Here is a 14,854-nt window from a genome sequence, read left to right on the forward strand (position 1 = left end):
GAAAAACATTTGAATGATTTTTTTCTTAACTGACATTTAGAAAACATCCACCTCAAATCTTCCTAATCCACAAACTTGTCTAGCACCCCTGGAACATTCACCAAAATAAATTTTTAAATGCTGAATCATAGGTAATATGATAGATGAAACAGTTGAATTAAATTATAAATGTACAACAAGGAAATGCTGGGGAAATTATCAAATATTTTAAAATTAATAAACACACATAGCAATAAACAATGAGTGGAAGAAAAACATTTCAAAGAAAGGTGGAAAATATTTTGTATCAATTAAAAATGAAAACACATCTCGGCAAATGACTGGGGATACAGATAGAACAGTGTTAAAGGAAAATAAGCCTCAAATGTCTGTGTTAGAAAAGAAGGAAGAGCTGAGTAAATAGGTAACTTTCGCTTGCAGAAATACTACACATCAGCAAATTAATTCCAAAGTAACGTCGAGGAAAAACATAAAATGGCAAGCAAATATATACGTGCATATGTACGTATATTCATAAATGACAAACAGGACAGAAAAATCAGTGACATCAATTTTGTTCCTTAGAAGAAACAGGAAAATTGACCCCAAAAAACTTTCCAGGCCACATTTGGTCATGATGGAAATATTTTGGCACTTCCTGGTTAAGCTCAACACCAACTTGCACCCAAAACCAATAATTTCATTCCTAGGTAAATATGTCTAATTAATTCAGCATATGTATGCAAGGGATCACACAGAAACACGATTATCAAGGCCCGAGTTATAAAAGAGAAAATCCGGAAACAACACAAATGTCCATGATAAAAAGAGTGGATAATTACATGTTGATAAAGTTATGTATGGACTATTAAACTGCAATCCAAAAGAATAAAATAGAACTATAAAATTCAATATGTATATGGTGTCATAGAAACACAAATGTGAGAAAAAGAAAGAAAAATACAAAATTTATATTTTTTAAAATTTGAAACAACTATATATGTGAGTGCTTAGGGTGTGTGTGTGTGTGTGTGTGTATAACCATATGTATATAAACGCACACATACGCACACATATAGAATGTCCCGGCCAGGCATGGTGGCTCACACCTGTAATCTCAGCACTTTGGGAGGCTGAAGTAGACAGATCACTTGAGGTTAGGAGTTCAAGACCAGCCTGGCCAACATGGAGAAACCTCCTCTCTACTAAAAGTACAAAAATTAGGTGGGCGTGATGGTGGGTGCCTGTAAATCCAGCTACTTAGGAGGCTGAGGCACGAGAATTGCGTGAACCTGGGAGGTGGAGGCTGCAATGAGCCGAGGTCTCACCACTGCATTCCAAACTGGGTGACGAAGTGAGATTGCGTCTCAAAAAAAAAAAAAGTTCTAAAAGTTGTGACTTGGGTGTGGCAGATTGTGACATACTGCCAGCTGCTAGAAATGCTGGGGCAGGAGGATTGCTTGAACTCTGAAGTCAAAGAACAGCCTGGGGAAAATAGCACATGAAGAAGAGTTTGAATCTCAGATAAAAACAACAAAAATACATCAAAAGTCTTTAATGTAAGCCAAGCATTCAGTCATCTCCTGTATGAGAGATTGGATCTGAGACGTGTTTTGAGTTGGTTATAGTGAAGGATGCAAGGTGTCAATTCTAGTTGGAACAATTTCCAGGAAGCCATGTTCCGCTCTTGACCAAACAGCCACTGGGCCTCATGCAAGGTAGAAATAGCCTGCATACGTCATCCTCCCATGATGTGGTCAGCATGTAAACTGCATGAGCCCCTCACAACATCCTGTGTGCTGCTGAACTGAGCTGGGGCGCAGCCGCCTGTCTGCACCGGCAGCACCATGTCGCTCATGGTCGTCAGCATGGCGTGTGTTGGTGAGTCCTGGAAGGGAATCGAGGGAGGGAGCGCTGGGGTGGAGATCTGGGCCTGGAGTGGAGATCTGGGCCTGGAGTGGAGATATGGGCCTGGAGTGGAGATATAGGCCTGGAGTGGAGATATGGGCCTGGGGTGGAGATATGGGCCTGGAGTGGAGATATGGGCCTGGAACTGTAGATATGGGCCTGAAGTAGAGATATGGGCCTGGAGTAGAGATATGGGCCTGGAACTGTAGATATGGGCCTGGAGTGGAGATATTGGCTTGGAGTGCAGATATGGACCTGGAATTGAGATACGGGCCTGGAGGTGGAGATATGGGCCTAGAGTGGAGATATGGGCCTGGAGGTGGAGATATGGGCCTGGAACTGTAGATATGGGCCTGGAGTAGAGATACGGGCCTGGAGTGGAGATGTTGGCTTGGAGTGCAGATATGGGCCTGGAATGGAGACACGGGCCTGGAGGTGGAGATACAGGCCTGGAGGTGGAGATATGGGCCTGGAGTGTAGATATGGGCCTGGAGTAGAGATATAGGACGGAGGTGGAGATATAGGCCTGGAGTGGAGATATGGGCCTGGAGTAGAGATATAGGACGGAGGTGGAGATATAGGCCTGGAGTGGAGATATGGGCCTAGAGGTGGAGATATGGGCCTGGAGTGGAGATATGGGCCTGGAGGTGATGTACAGATGGATCATCCATCATGATCTTTCTTTCCAGGGTTCTTCTTGCTGGAGGGGCCCTGGCCACATGTGGGTGAGTCCTTCCCCCAAACCTTAGGTTGTCATCTCCCCACATAAGATGATGCTCCTGAAACGGGAGGCAGGCGACACAGGGGGTTGACTGATGGGCTGACCATGGGAAGCCATGTGGGAATCTCTCATGAACTAGGAAAAGGAAGCCAGGGGAAGCTTCGCCACAGTTCTGTCCTAGCCCTCCCCGGCCTTTCTTTCCCTTGGCTGAGTCTGTGGGGACCCAGGGGGAGACTGAAGTGCTCAAAGGAGTGGTGTGCAGGGAGGAAGTGGTGTCACCGGCAGAGGAAGGGAGAGAAGCAGTGCAAGGAACAACAGGCCTCTGAGGACAAGAGCATAACTCACACCCTCCAGCGTTTCCATGACGGTAGGGGCTGCAATGTGGCTGCTGTCATTCTACCTAAGAGGTGGGGGAACCACAGTCATGACCCTGACATTCCAGATCTTCTAATAGGGGCTCAGTTGTTTATTATGGTTCATGCATTAGCTGATCATGCCCTCCATCCTGTGTCTACCTTGTGTTCTTTTATGTAAGTAATTTTGCAGTGTTAAAATCTAGTAAGAGTCGCTTCTTCAGCACCTGCTCAAAGTTCTCAGCTGACACTTGCTGTAGGGAGACGCCATGTCTATGCGGGATGGGTCCTTCCTGTAGCCCTGGGCACCCAGGTGTGGTAGGAGCCTTAGAAACGTGGAAATGGGAGAATCTTCTGAGCACAGGGAGGGAGGGGCGGCTCCACATCCTCCTCTCTAAGGTGGTGCCTCCTTCTCCCCCAGGTGGTCAGGACAAGCCCTTCCTCTCTGCCTGGCCCGGCACTGTGGTGTCTGAAGGACAACATGTGACTCTTCAGTGTCGCTCTCGTCTTGGGTTTAATGAATTCAGTCTGTCCAAAGAAGACGGGATGCCTGTCCCTGAGCTCTACAACAGAATATTCCGGAACAGCTTTCTCATGGGCCCTGTGACCCCAGCACATGCAGGGACCTACAGATGTTGCAGTTCACACCCACACTCCCCCACTGGGTGGTCGGCACCCAGCAACCCTGTGGTGATCATGGTCACAGGTCAGAGGCTTTCTGTCTGGGCTTCTCACTGTCCCACCTCCTGAATCCCAGAGCTTCTGGTGGGGGCGTCCATCAGGGTCCAATCATCCAGGCCCCGACTGTATTTGGGGTAAAGGGGGATTCAGTACAGAGAAATAGTTGCTGTGGTGGGAAGAATAATTGTCCCCAGTGATGGCTACATGGTAATCCATGAACCCTGTGACTATTTATGTTATAGGGCAGGGGACTGAAGAGGAAGATGGAGCTCAGGTTGTTGATGAGTTGACCTTGCGATGGGGAGACAGCCTGGACTGTCCTGCTGTGCTCAGAGTAATCACAAGGGTCCTCATGAGAGGAGGAGGAAGAGGAAAGTGGGGTTAGAGCAACGTCGTGGGAGGGAGACTCCATCAGCCACAGCGGGCTTTGAAGATGGGGGAAGGCCATGAGCCACAAAGGCAGGTGGCCTCTAAGGGCTGGAGAAGTCAAGGGAACTGATTCTTCCCTGAGTCTCCAGAGGAAACACAGCCCTGCAGATGCCTTGATTTTAGCCCAGAGAGAACTGGGTCCGATTTCTGTTCTCCAGAAGTGGAAGAGGTCATTGTATTCTCTCCTGCCCCATGTTTGTGACAATTTTCTCCAGCAGCAACAGGAAACCAACACAGGAACCCAGGTGAAGCACAGGTTAAGAAACCAAACAAGGAGAAGGTTGGCTACACTGATTTTAGCATGGGTGGGATACTGATGCTACCACCAGGCTCGATCCACATAGGGAGGGGTTGATGCTCCTGGAACCAGCACCAGGGGCCACCCTATGGAAGCTGGGGCCATGGAGAAGGCACAGACATGAAAGGAGAGGCTCCCAATCCCCATCAGGAACAGGGACACTGATGCCTGCCTTACTGATGAGTTCGTACCTCCTGCCGGCCTTTCCAATCTGTCCAAAAGAGATTGATTCAGGCTGCTAAGAGCCTGGACATGCAGCCTGTCATGGTTCCTCTTCCACCCCCACATAAACACCAGGAAAGAGATTAGTGGGAAACAGATACAACAGCCTAAGAGGTGACACTGAGCACAGTGGGAAGGGAATCAGGGCTACTAGAGACAGAGAGACAGGGAAGAGGGAGGGAGACAGATGGAGGGACCTGCAACAGGGGTTATGGGCACAAAAGAACACGGAGACACAGACAGGAAGGAGAGAGATAGACACCATGGAGGGGAAGCCTCACTTATTTCAGGTCCCATGAATGGGATGAGAAAGGGAGACGCCTTCTGAACTCACAACCTCTCTTCTTAGGAGTCCACAGAAAACCTTCCCTCCTGGCCCACCCAGGTCCCCTGGTGAAATCAGGAGAGACGGTCATCCTGCAATGTTGGTCAGATGTCAGGTTTGAGCGCTTCCTTCTGCACAGAGAGGGGATCACTGAGGACCCCTTGCGCCTCGTTGGACAGCTCCACGATGCGGGTTCCCAGGTCAACTATTCCATGGGTCCCATGACACCTGCCCTTGCAGGGACCTACAGATGCTTTGGTTCTGTCACTCACTTACCCTATGAGTTGTCGGCTCCCAGTGACCCTCTGGACATCGTGGTCGTAGGTGAGAGAATACAGACCTGCCTCTCACCCTTGCTGGGAGATGGAGTGAATGATCTAGGACTGGAAGCCCCAGGTGGTCATGAGGAAGATGAGTGTGGGGTTCCTATGGAGAGAAAGTGACTTGGTGAGGTCTGTACCAACAAAGGCAGAGAAACAGGAGACACAAGTACAGACCTCATGTCATAACATAGAAGCCAGACACAGGGGCCATACAAGGTGTTAGAAAAAGAGATAAAGAGGTAAAGAAGACACAGAGAGACAGACATATCCCAGAGAGAGGTGTCCTTCTATGCTGACTTTGTTCAGAGACCAGGCACAGGTTAGAAGGTTCCATTCTGTTTTACCTCTACAAAGTGTTCTCTCCCAGGAGAACCCAAAGAGACACATCTATCTGGCCTGAGTTGGGCCATGTGGCCCCAGGCTGGTGGCACCTACAGATGTTGTGTTTATTCTTAAACCTCTGCCTTCCGTGCAGTGGAGCTGTCATCGTCCCAGGACACCATGGCCCCAGGTGAGGGAGCAGAACACCAACCCCTGTATGCTGTGAGTTCCTGGAGTCCCCATACTGGATTCTGAGGCTCATATTCAAATAGCACCACATGTTATAGGATTACTGAGAACAAAAGCCCACAGAGAGACACGGAGTGAAATCAGGGAAATCAAAAAGCAAAGACATGAACACACACACAGAATGAGCCAGAAGAAGGGAATTGAGAGACTCACAGACACATAAAGAGATAGAAAAAGAGGGCAGAGAAGTGGAGCGTATGATGGAAGGAAGCAGAGAAAAGCCCTAAAATCAGAGCCCTGAGGGAGGGGCACAAAGACAGGGAAAGATAAAGATGTGAGGATGGATTGCAGAGACTCCAAAAGGGAACTAGAGAGACTGAGAGGCAGAGAAAGACAAGGAGATGGAGAGAGACAGATGATAGATGGACAGATAGATATAGATAGATGAAAGATAAAAGGTAGATGATAGATAATAGAGAGACAGGTGATAGACAAATAGATGATGAATGACTGATAGATGATATAGATAGACAAGTAGAAAGACAGACAGATGATATATAAATAGATATAGAGAGATAGAAAGACAGATAAACACATGATGATAGATGGATAGATGCATACATACATACATTGATTGATAGATGATAGATAACAGAGAGATAGGTCATAGATACACAGATGATGATAGATGATAGATACATACATAGATAAATGATAGATCGATCAATAGATAATAGATAGAAATATGCAGAAAGTTATGAGCAAGACAGAAAGTGAGAGACTCAGAATTAAAGAAAGAGGAAGATCAAGTCAACCAGTCCAAGGAGGGTCAGAGAGAATAAAATGGTACAAAAAAAGAAAACATAGCTAGGGATGGAGAAGTGAGGTCAGAGACCTAGAGAGACAGAGAAGGTGGAAGGAGGAAATAGACATGAAGAGAGATGGGGGTGGAGGGTGAGAGAGAGAAAGAGAGCATTAAGTCATAGAGCAGGGGAGTGAGTTCTCAGCTCAGGTGTGAGGAGAGCTGTGACAAGGAAGAACCTCCCTGAGGAAACCACCTCTTCTTCTTCCAGGTCTATATGGGAAACCTTCTCTCTCAGCCCAGCCGGGCCCCACGGTTCAGGCAGGAGAGAATGTGACCTTGTCCTGCAGCTCCCGGAGCTTGTTTGACATTTACCATCTATCCAGGGAGGCGGAGGCCGGTGAACTTAGGCTCACTGCAGTGCTGAGGGTCAATGGAACATTCCAGGCCAACTTCCCTCTGGGCCCTGTGACCCACGGAGGGAACTACAGATGCTTCGGCTCTTTCCGTGCCCTGCCCCATGCGTGGTCAGACCCGAGTGACCCACTGCCCGTTTCTGTCACAGGTGAGAAAACACCATGCCTGTCCCATGTCTTGTGATCCTAGAGCCATAGCTGAGGAGCTTCCTGCTGATGATGGAGAGAAGCATGGACAGATGCCGAGACAGAACACACAGCATGGGTGTAAGGGCGGGGTCAGGGCGCAGGATGGCAGACAGGGCACCTCCAAACCCTCCTGTATGGCCTGCAAGGATGCCCTTGATCAGGGTTCCAGGCACCCAGGCAGATGGAGAAAGAGGTCAGAACAGACCCAGAGGAGGGAGACTGGGCTCTGCCTGGGGAGATCAGAGGTTCTCTCAGCCCCTCAACCTTACCCACTTCCCAGAAGCCCATCCTGGCCTGTCACCCACAGAGAGATGTCATCACCAGCAACGCCTACACCCTTTTCTTTTTGTTTGAAGAAATATTTATTGAGGTGAAATATACCTATGTAATTTACCACCTTTACCATTTTTAAGTGTGAAGTCTACTGTTCATAAATACATTTATAGGCTGGGCACGGTGGCTCACGGTTGTAATCCCAACACTTTGAGAGGCCAAGGCAGGTGGATCATTTGAGATCAGGGGCTCAAGACCACCCTGGCCAACATGGGGAAAATCCATCTGTACTAAAAATACAAAATAATAATTATAATGATAATAATTAGCCGAGCATGGTGGCACATGCCTGTAGTCCCAGCTACTTGGTAGGGTTGGGCAGGAGTTGCACTTAATTGCAGGAGGCGGAGGTTGCAGTGAGCTGAGATCATGCCACTGCACTGCAGCCTGGGCAACAGAGAGAGACACTCTCTCAAAATTAATTAATTAATTAATTAGTATTCTTTTTTTTTTACCCTCCACCCTTCCCTTCCTGGCCTCTGGTAGCCACCATTCTACTCTCTACCTTTGTGAGATCCACCTTTTAGCTCCTGCATATGAGTGAGAAATGGAAATACTTGTAATGACCTCCAGTTCCATTCATGTGGCTGTAAATGACAGGATGTTACTCTTTCTATGGATGAGTTGTCCCTATTGTGTGTGTGTACCACATTCTCTCCATCCATTCACCCACTGATGGGCAGGTAGGTTGATCCACATCTTGGCTACTGTGAACACTGCTGGAACAGTCATGGGAGTGCAGATGTCACTTCGATACGCTGATGTCCTTTCCTTTGGGTTTACACCCAGTCATGGAATTGCTAGATCCTCTGGAAGTGTCTTTTTACATTTTGTTTTATGGTTTTTGTTTTTGTTTTTGTTTTTTTTAGACTGTTTCACTCTTGTTGCCCAGGCTGGAGTGCAGTGGCGCCATCTGGGCTCACTGCAACCTCCACCTCCAGGATTCAAGAGATTCCCCAGCCTCAGCCTCCCAAGTAGCTGGGTTACTGGCTCCCACCACCACACTCGGCTAATTTTTATATTTTTAGTAGAGACAGAGTTTCGCTATATTGGCCAGGCTGCTCTTCAACTCCTGACCTCAAGTGACCTACCCACCTCGGCCTCCCAATGTGCTGGGATTACAGGCATGAACCACTGTGCCCGACCTCATTTTATTTTTTGAGGAACTTCCATACTCTTCTCCTCTGTAATGGCTGTACTAATTTACATTCGTATCAGCAGTGTACCAGATGCAACCCTGGTTGACTCAGCAGAGCAAGAGACGTGCAGTAAGAGAGAATTTAGCTTATTTATGCACACGACACTTCCACTCACTCACTCGTTCAGCCAATGCCCCATGCTCAGGCTGTGCAGTGTGGAATCTTTTCCTATTGTTGCCATAACAAATTTCCACAAGCTTCGTGGATGAAAACATGTTTTTCTTAATTATCTCACAGTGCTGTAACTCAGAAGTATGAACTGCATTTCACTGGGCTGATATCAAAGGGACAGTAAGGCTGGATTTCTTTTTAAGGTTCCAAGCAAGAATCTGCTCCTTAACGTTTCCCAGCTCCTAGAGGCTCCCACGTTCCTGGGCCCCTGGTCCCCTTCCTCCTTCCTCCTTCCTCAAAGCCCACAAAGGCTGGTCACGTCTCACATGGCATCATTCAGACTCTTCTTCTTTACCCACACCTTTTTCTCTGAATCCTGCTCTGCCTTCTTCCTCATCTTTTAAGGACTTTGGGATTCTATTGGGGTCACCAAGATAATCCATCTCAATCTCCCTAAAATCATCCAGCGTACCCTCTTTTTAAGTTCAGCTGATTAGCAACCGTAATGCCATCTGCAATCTTCATTCCTCCTTTCCTGTAAAATAACATATTCACAAGCTATGGAGGCTAAGACAGGGACATTTTGGGGGTGGGGCAGCATTCTCCTGCCTTCCACAAATGGTAAACAGGATGCATTTGGCCTCTGCTCTTGGGACGCTGATATTGCAGATGGGTAAATGCGAGGGCAGAGAATGAATGCACAAGGGTACCAATAAATGAATGATCCATTGGGAAGCATCTGTGCACCAAATCTGGGGTTTTTTGTGTGTGTGTGTGTTTTTTGTTTTCTTTTTTTTTTTGAGTAGAGTCTCTCTCTGTTCCACAGGCTGGAGTGCAGTAGCACAATCTCAGCTCATTGCAACCTCTGCCTCCTGGGTTCATGCAATTCTCCTGCCTCAGCCTACCGAGTAGCTGGGATTACAGCTGTGCGCCACCACACTCGGCTAATTTTTTTGGTATATTTTTTTAGTAGAAATGAGGTTTCACCATGTTGTGCAGGCTGTCTCAAACTCCCAATCTCAAGTGATCCCACCGCCTTAGCGTCCCTAAGTGCAAAGATTACAGGCGAGAGCTACTGCGCCCAGCCAGGATTTAAAATAAGTAATAGATAATGCTGAGTATATAATTTCAGGTGACAGAGAAGGTCTCACTGATCAGATAATATTTGTGACCTTAATGGAAAAAATGGATTCAACCCTTGGAAGATTGGCGGAAGGATTTTCCACACTGAGCTCTCAGCCGTGAAGGCACAAAGGTGGAAACATTCTTAGTTCAAGGAAGAGGCTCTGCCTCAAATGCTGGGAATGAGATGGGGAGAATGACAAGACAACTGTAGAGAGATGGAGAGCACACTGGGTACACAGGAAACTAAGGAGGAACAAGGAGCATGTTTTTGATACTCACAGCCCTTGGATTCAACTCAGAGCTAACTAGGAATCCCTACCTGATTAACAGTGACCGACATGAAAATAAGGGAGGCCCAGGTGCGTAACTGGAATCTAGGAGACCGTGGAAAAGGCAATTCCCGCCCCACTGGTGAAACGTAGGGTTGATTTACACACTAAATGAATGAAAGATGGATATAAGCTATGCTTGTGAGGTAGAATCATTTGCAGGGAGGGCTTGCTGGGTTTGATTTTTCCTAGTAGTTTAATCCTTGTTTCATTAATTTCTTTCTGAGATGTGTTTTTTTTCTACATCTAAATCAATACCTGGCAGAGGAGCGATAGACACATGAGGGGTGGTGCAAATGAAGGGACCTAGTATAATATAATATACAAGACTGTGGATGGGGGCTCACACCTGTAACCCAACACTTTGGGAGGCCAAGGCGGGTAGATCACTTAAGGGTAGGAGTTTGAGACCAGCCTGGCCAACATGGTGAAACCCCGTCTGTACTAAAAATACAAAAATTAGCCTGGTGCATTGGCACCTGCCTGTAATCCCAGCGACTGGGGAGGCTGAAGCAGAAGAATGGCTTCAACCCTGGAGGCAGAGGTTGAACTGAGATCGCATCACTGCACTCCAGCCTGACACAGGGGGACTCTGTCTCAAAAAATAAAAATAAAACATACATAATTATGACACACAGAAATTACAAAGGCAACTGGATACCAACCATCATTTTTCTATTTCTCTGTGTTTAATTCTTTGACCCTTTATCTTATCCATTAAACAATCAGGTTAAACCTCTTCCTTATTTGGCTTTCTGTGAGCTTGGGATCATATGGAAAATGTGAAAGCCTCCTGAACCCACCAGCACAGGTCCTGGAATAGAGAACGTGCTCTGTTCATGGCATAAAACTTGCCCCTTCACCCAAATCCCCCAATTCATCTCTACTTCCAATCACCTATGGAGATACAGATAGATCATGGGGAGGTAAACACTAATACTCTTTGGAGTGAGCTCAGATCTTGGACTCAGAGACCAGTGCCAGCACTAGCCCCTGGTCACATTTCGTACTAACTCACAGAAGGACAGGCTGTATTGAAACAATAAACGACGGAGAGGGCGGTCCTTCCCCGTGCTTCTCGGGTGGAATAGCAGCCTAATATATGTCTCAGCAGATCACAAAAAGTAGCATGTTGTTCCTGGGCTACATCATTATTTCATGGCTGTTTGATTTAAGTCAGTTCTACTTCACTTTTTTTATCTTGATTTCATTTTTTCTTTCTTTTCTTGGAGAATGTAATTTTTTTGAGTCAAGAGGGTTGTGGTGGTAGAAACTGTAAAGCACATTCGCTGTGTATCAATCCCAATCCAGTCTTCCCAGAGAAGATTCTAAACACCTCCTGGAATGCACCTGGGCCTATACCAATTCCTATCACTCACCGTCACTCCAGGGAGACAGAACACACAGAGAACACATTACACAGGCAGGTTCATTACTAACAGATAAGCAGCGAGTGACAACAGAAACCTACATTTCAATGTGAGCCAGTCCCTCAAGGCTCAGAAAAGCTGCTCGAGACATGTGGAGTCACCCCATATGCAGTGTATCTGGGGGAAATCAAAAAGCAGCCCAGCCTGGGTTTTGTACCCTGGAGCCACAGGAAGCACTCAGCTAAAGCACTGCATGACGTCCTCCTCCAGGAAGAACAGGAAGACAGCCCAGGCTGTTCTGGGATGTTCCTCCTGATCTCAGGACGTTGCTGTCTTAGTCCATTTTTGTTGCTCTAAAGGAACACTTGAGCCTGGGTAACTTCTAAAGACAAGAAATGTGTTTGCCTCACAGTTCTGCAGGCTGTACTGGAAGCATGGCACCAGCATCTATTTCTTGTGACGGCCTCAGGCTGCTCCCACTCTGGCAGAAGGGAAGGAGGGTCTGTCTGTGCAGAGACCACAGAGATCACACGGCAAGAGAGGGACCAAGGGGGAGGGGGAGCGATGGAGCTTCCAAGCTCTTTTAACAACCAGTTCTCCAGGAACTAATAGAGGGGGAACTTGCTAACCCCGTCTCCTTGGAACAGCATTGATCTGTTCATGATGGATCCACCTCCATGACCCAAACAACTCCCAAGAGGCCCAACCTCCCACTCTGGGGGTTACATTTCAATGTGAGGTTTGAAGGGGTCAAACATCTAAACTAAAGCAGTTGTATCCTCAGCACGTTCTATGGTTACTACAACTGAGAAAGCAGGAGGAAGCTAGGTCTCCCGCCATCTGGGTGCTTGTCCTAAAGAGACGTTGTATGTGGTTACCTGTCAATCAAGAAATGTGAGACAATTCATATAGAGGAACTGCTATGATTAGCTTCTTATTGGTGTCTTGTCTTCCTCCAGGTAACTCCAGAAACCTGCACGTTCTGATTGGGACCTCAGTGGTCATCATCCCCTTTGCTATCCTCCTCTTCTTTCTCCTTCATCGCTGGTGTGCCAACAAAAAGAGTAAGTCTCACGAAGCAGAAGCCAGAGAGCTCAGGGCCATGTGGGGAAGCAGGATGGGAGCACTCAGGTGTGTGTTCCTCACAGACTGGATGGTCCCTGGCCCAAGGCAGGAGCCACAGAGGCAGGACTTTCTAGAGAGAGCACCAGACTCCCTGCCTCTGCCTTCAGCTCACAGACCATTGCCTGATTCTGAACCGTATCCTCACATCCCCTGCAGCCACTCACATCCAGGAGAAGGTTCCATGACAGGCAGAAAGTGGGACACAGAATCAATAGGATGGGAACTCAGAGCTATACATGGGATGGATCCTTGAGCTCAGAGAGATAGAATGTCTGAGTCTGCTGTTGGCAACTGAGGGACCTCAGGCACCTATGGCCTCCCCCTGTATGTTGGTATCTGCTTATGAAATGAGGACCCAGAAGTGCCCTCCGAGCTGTTTTGACGACTTCCGTCTTCTACAGATGCTGTTGTAATGGACCAAGAGCCTGCAGGGAACAGAACAGTGAACAGGGAGGTAGGTGCTCCTCCGCCCAGCCTCGTGGCTAGTCTTATTCCCAAAGAGTCCTGGAAAATGTGAGCACCCTCCCTCACTCAGCATTTCCCTCCCTCCAGGACTCTGATGAACAAGACCCTCAGGAGGTGACATACGCACAGTTGAATCACTGCGTTTTCACACAGAGAAAAATCACTCGCCCTTCTCAGAGGCCCAAGACACCCCCAACAGATACCAGCGTGTAACACGGAACTTCCAAATGCTGAGCGCAGATCCAAAGTTGTCTTCTGTCCACTAGCACCACAGTCAGGCCTTGATGGGATCTTCTAGGGAGACAATAGCCCTGTCTCAAAACCGGGTTGCCAGCTCCCATGTACCAGCAGCTGGACTCTGAAGGCGTGAGTCTGCATCTTAGGGCATCGCTCTTCCTCACACCACGAATCTGAACATGCCTCTCTCTTGCTTACAAATGTCTAAGGTCCCCACTGCCTGCTGGAGAGAAAACACACTTGCTTAGCCCACAATTCTCCATTTCACTTGACCCCTGCCCACCTCTCCAACCTAACTGGCTTACTTCCTAGTCTACTTGAGGCTGCGATCACACTGAGGAACTCACAATTCCAAACATATAAGAGGCTCCCTCTTAACACGGCACTTAGATACGTGCTATTCCACCTTTCCTCAGAGTATCTTTCAGCCTTCTGTCAGCAGTAAAACTTATAAATTTTTTTTATAATTTCAATGTAGTTTTCTATTCTTCAAGTAAACATGTCTGCCCTCATGGTTTCTTCAATGGGACTCTTTTCTTGCCTAAGGCTTCCGGTGTTATCATTACCACGTCCACATAACCCCATCTGTTCTCCGCTGGGTTCTCAGCCCTGGACTCTGAGCTTCTGGAAGCATGGTGGAGCCTGAATTGTCTCTGAGACTCCAATTTCCATCCAAAGATGCAGCACATAGGAGGTTCCAAGGATGGTGAATCAGATGAACAAGTGATATTCTTACTCTCTGCAGATCTGGAAAGCTGGCAGAGTCATTCCACGATGAAACATTTGTAGAGTCATAGGCCTTGTTAGTCTCATCTCCACAGGGACACGTATCAACACATCATCTTTCATACTACTATAAATAGACAGTCACTCCTCCATATCTCTGGGGTTTACACATGTTTATTGAATCAGCAATAAATCAAAAATATTTTGAGAAAAAAAATCCCCGAAGTTTCAAAAAGCAAAAAACTATGTTGAATCGACACAAATTGAGTGGCGTGTAGGCTGTGTCAGGAATTATAAGTAATCAAGAGATGATTTCATGTATACAGGAGGATGTGCATGGGTTCTATGCAATTGCTATGCTATTTTTTTTTTTTTTTTGAGACAGTCTCACTCTCTCACCCAGGCTGGAGTGCAGTGGCGTGATCTCAACTCACTGCAACCTCCGCCTTCCAGGTTCAAGCGATTCTCTTCCCTCAGCCTCCCCAGTAGCCTCCCCTAGGATTACAGGCACGTGCCACCATGCACAGATAAATTTTTTTGTGTGTATATTTTTAGTAGAGATGGGGTTTCAGAATGTTGGACCAGCTGGTCTTGAACTCCTGACCTTGTGATCTACCCAGCTCAGCCTCCCAAAGTGCTGGGATTACAGGCGTGAGCCACGGTGCCCAGCTTCACTAT

The 14,854-nt window shown here is 47.3% G+C and overlaps 1 protein-coding gene across 1 annotated transcript, besides 1 other annotated feature; it reads left to right on the forward strand.

The window, feature by feature from the left end:
* KIR3DL3 (killer cell immunoglobulin like receptor, three Ig domains and long cytoplasmic tail 3) lies at positions 1,772–13,962 on the forward strand. The gene is made up of 8 exons (NM_153443.5): positions 1,772–1,860; positions 2,577–2,612; positions 3,383–3,667; positions 4,941–5,240; positions 6,823–7,116; positions 12,583–12,687; positions 13,150–13,202; positions 13,301–13,962. Exons 1-8 carry the CDS (start codon positions 1,827–1,829, stop codon positions 13,424–13,426), a joined length of 1,233 nt encoding a protein of 410 aa, NP_703144.3. The 5' UTR covers positions 1,772–1,826; the 3' UTR covers positions 13,427–13,962.
* Positions 12,697–13,896: an enhancer, noted in NCBI's record as "BRD4-independent group 4 enhancer chr19:55246834-55248033 (GRCh37/hg19 assembly coordinates)". NCBI's record gives its function as "activates an origin of replication core promoter dependent on BRD2, P300/CBP, MED14 and CDK7 cofactors, and independent of BRD4, by STARR-seq in HCT116 cells {active_cell/tissue: HCT116}" and the evidence as "EXISTENCE:reporter gene assay evidence [ECO:0000049][PMID:35650434]".

The sequence above is a fragment of the Homo sapiens genome, chromosome 19, assembly GCF_000001405.40.
Source record: "Homo sapiens chromosome 19, GRCh38.p14 Primary Assembly".
Lineage (NCBI taxonomy): Eukaryota > Metazoa > Chordata > Mammalia > Primates > Hominidae > Homo > Homo sapiens.

Coding starts and splice junctions, on each gene's coding strand:
- KIR3DL3 (NM_153443.5), top strand. CDS start 1,827: ATGTCGCTCATGGTCGTCAGCATGGCGTGTGTTG. Junction 1,861..2,576: donor CGTCAGCATGGCGTGTGTTG/GTGAGTCCTGGA, acceptor CTTTCTTTCCAG/GGTTCTTCTTGCTGGAGGGG. Junction 13,203..13,300: donor ACAGAACAGTGAACAGGGAG/GTAGGTGCTCCT, acceptor CCCTCCCTCCAG/GACTCTGATGAACAAGACCC.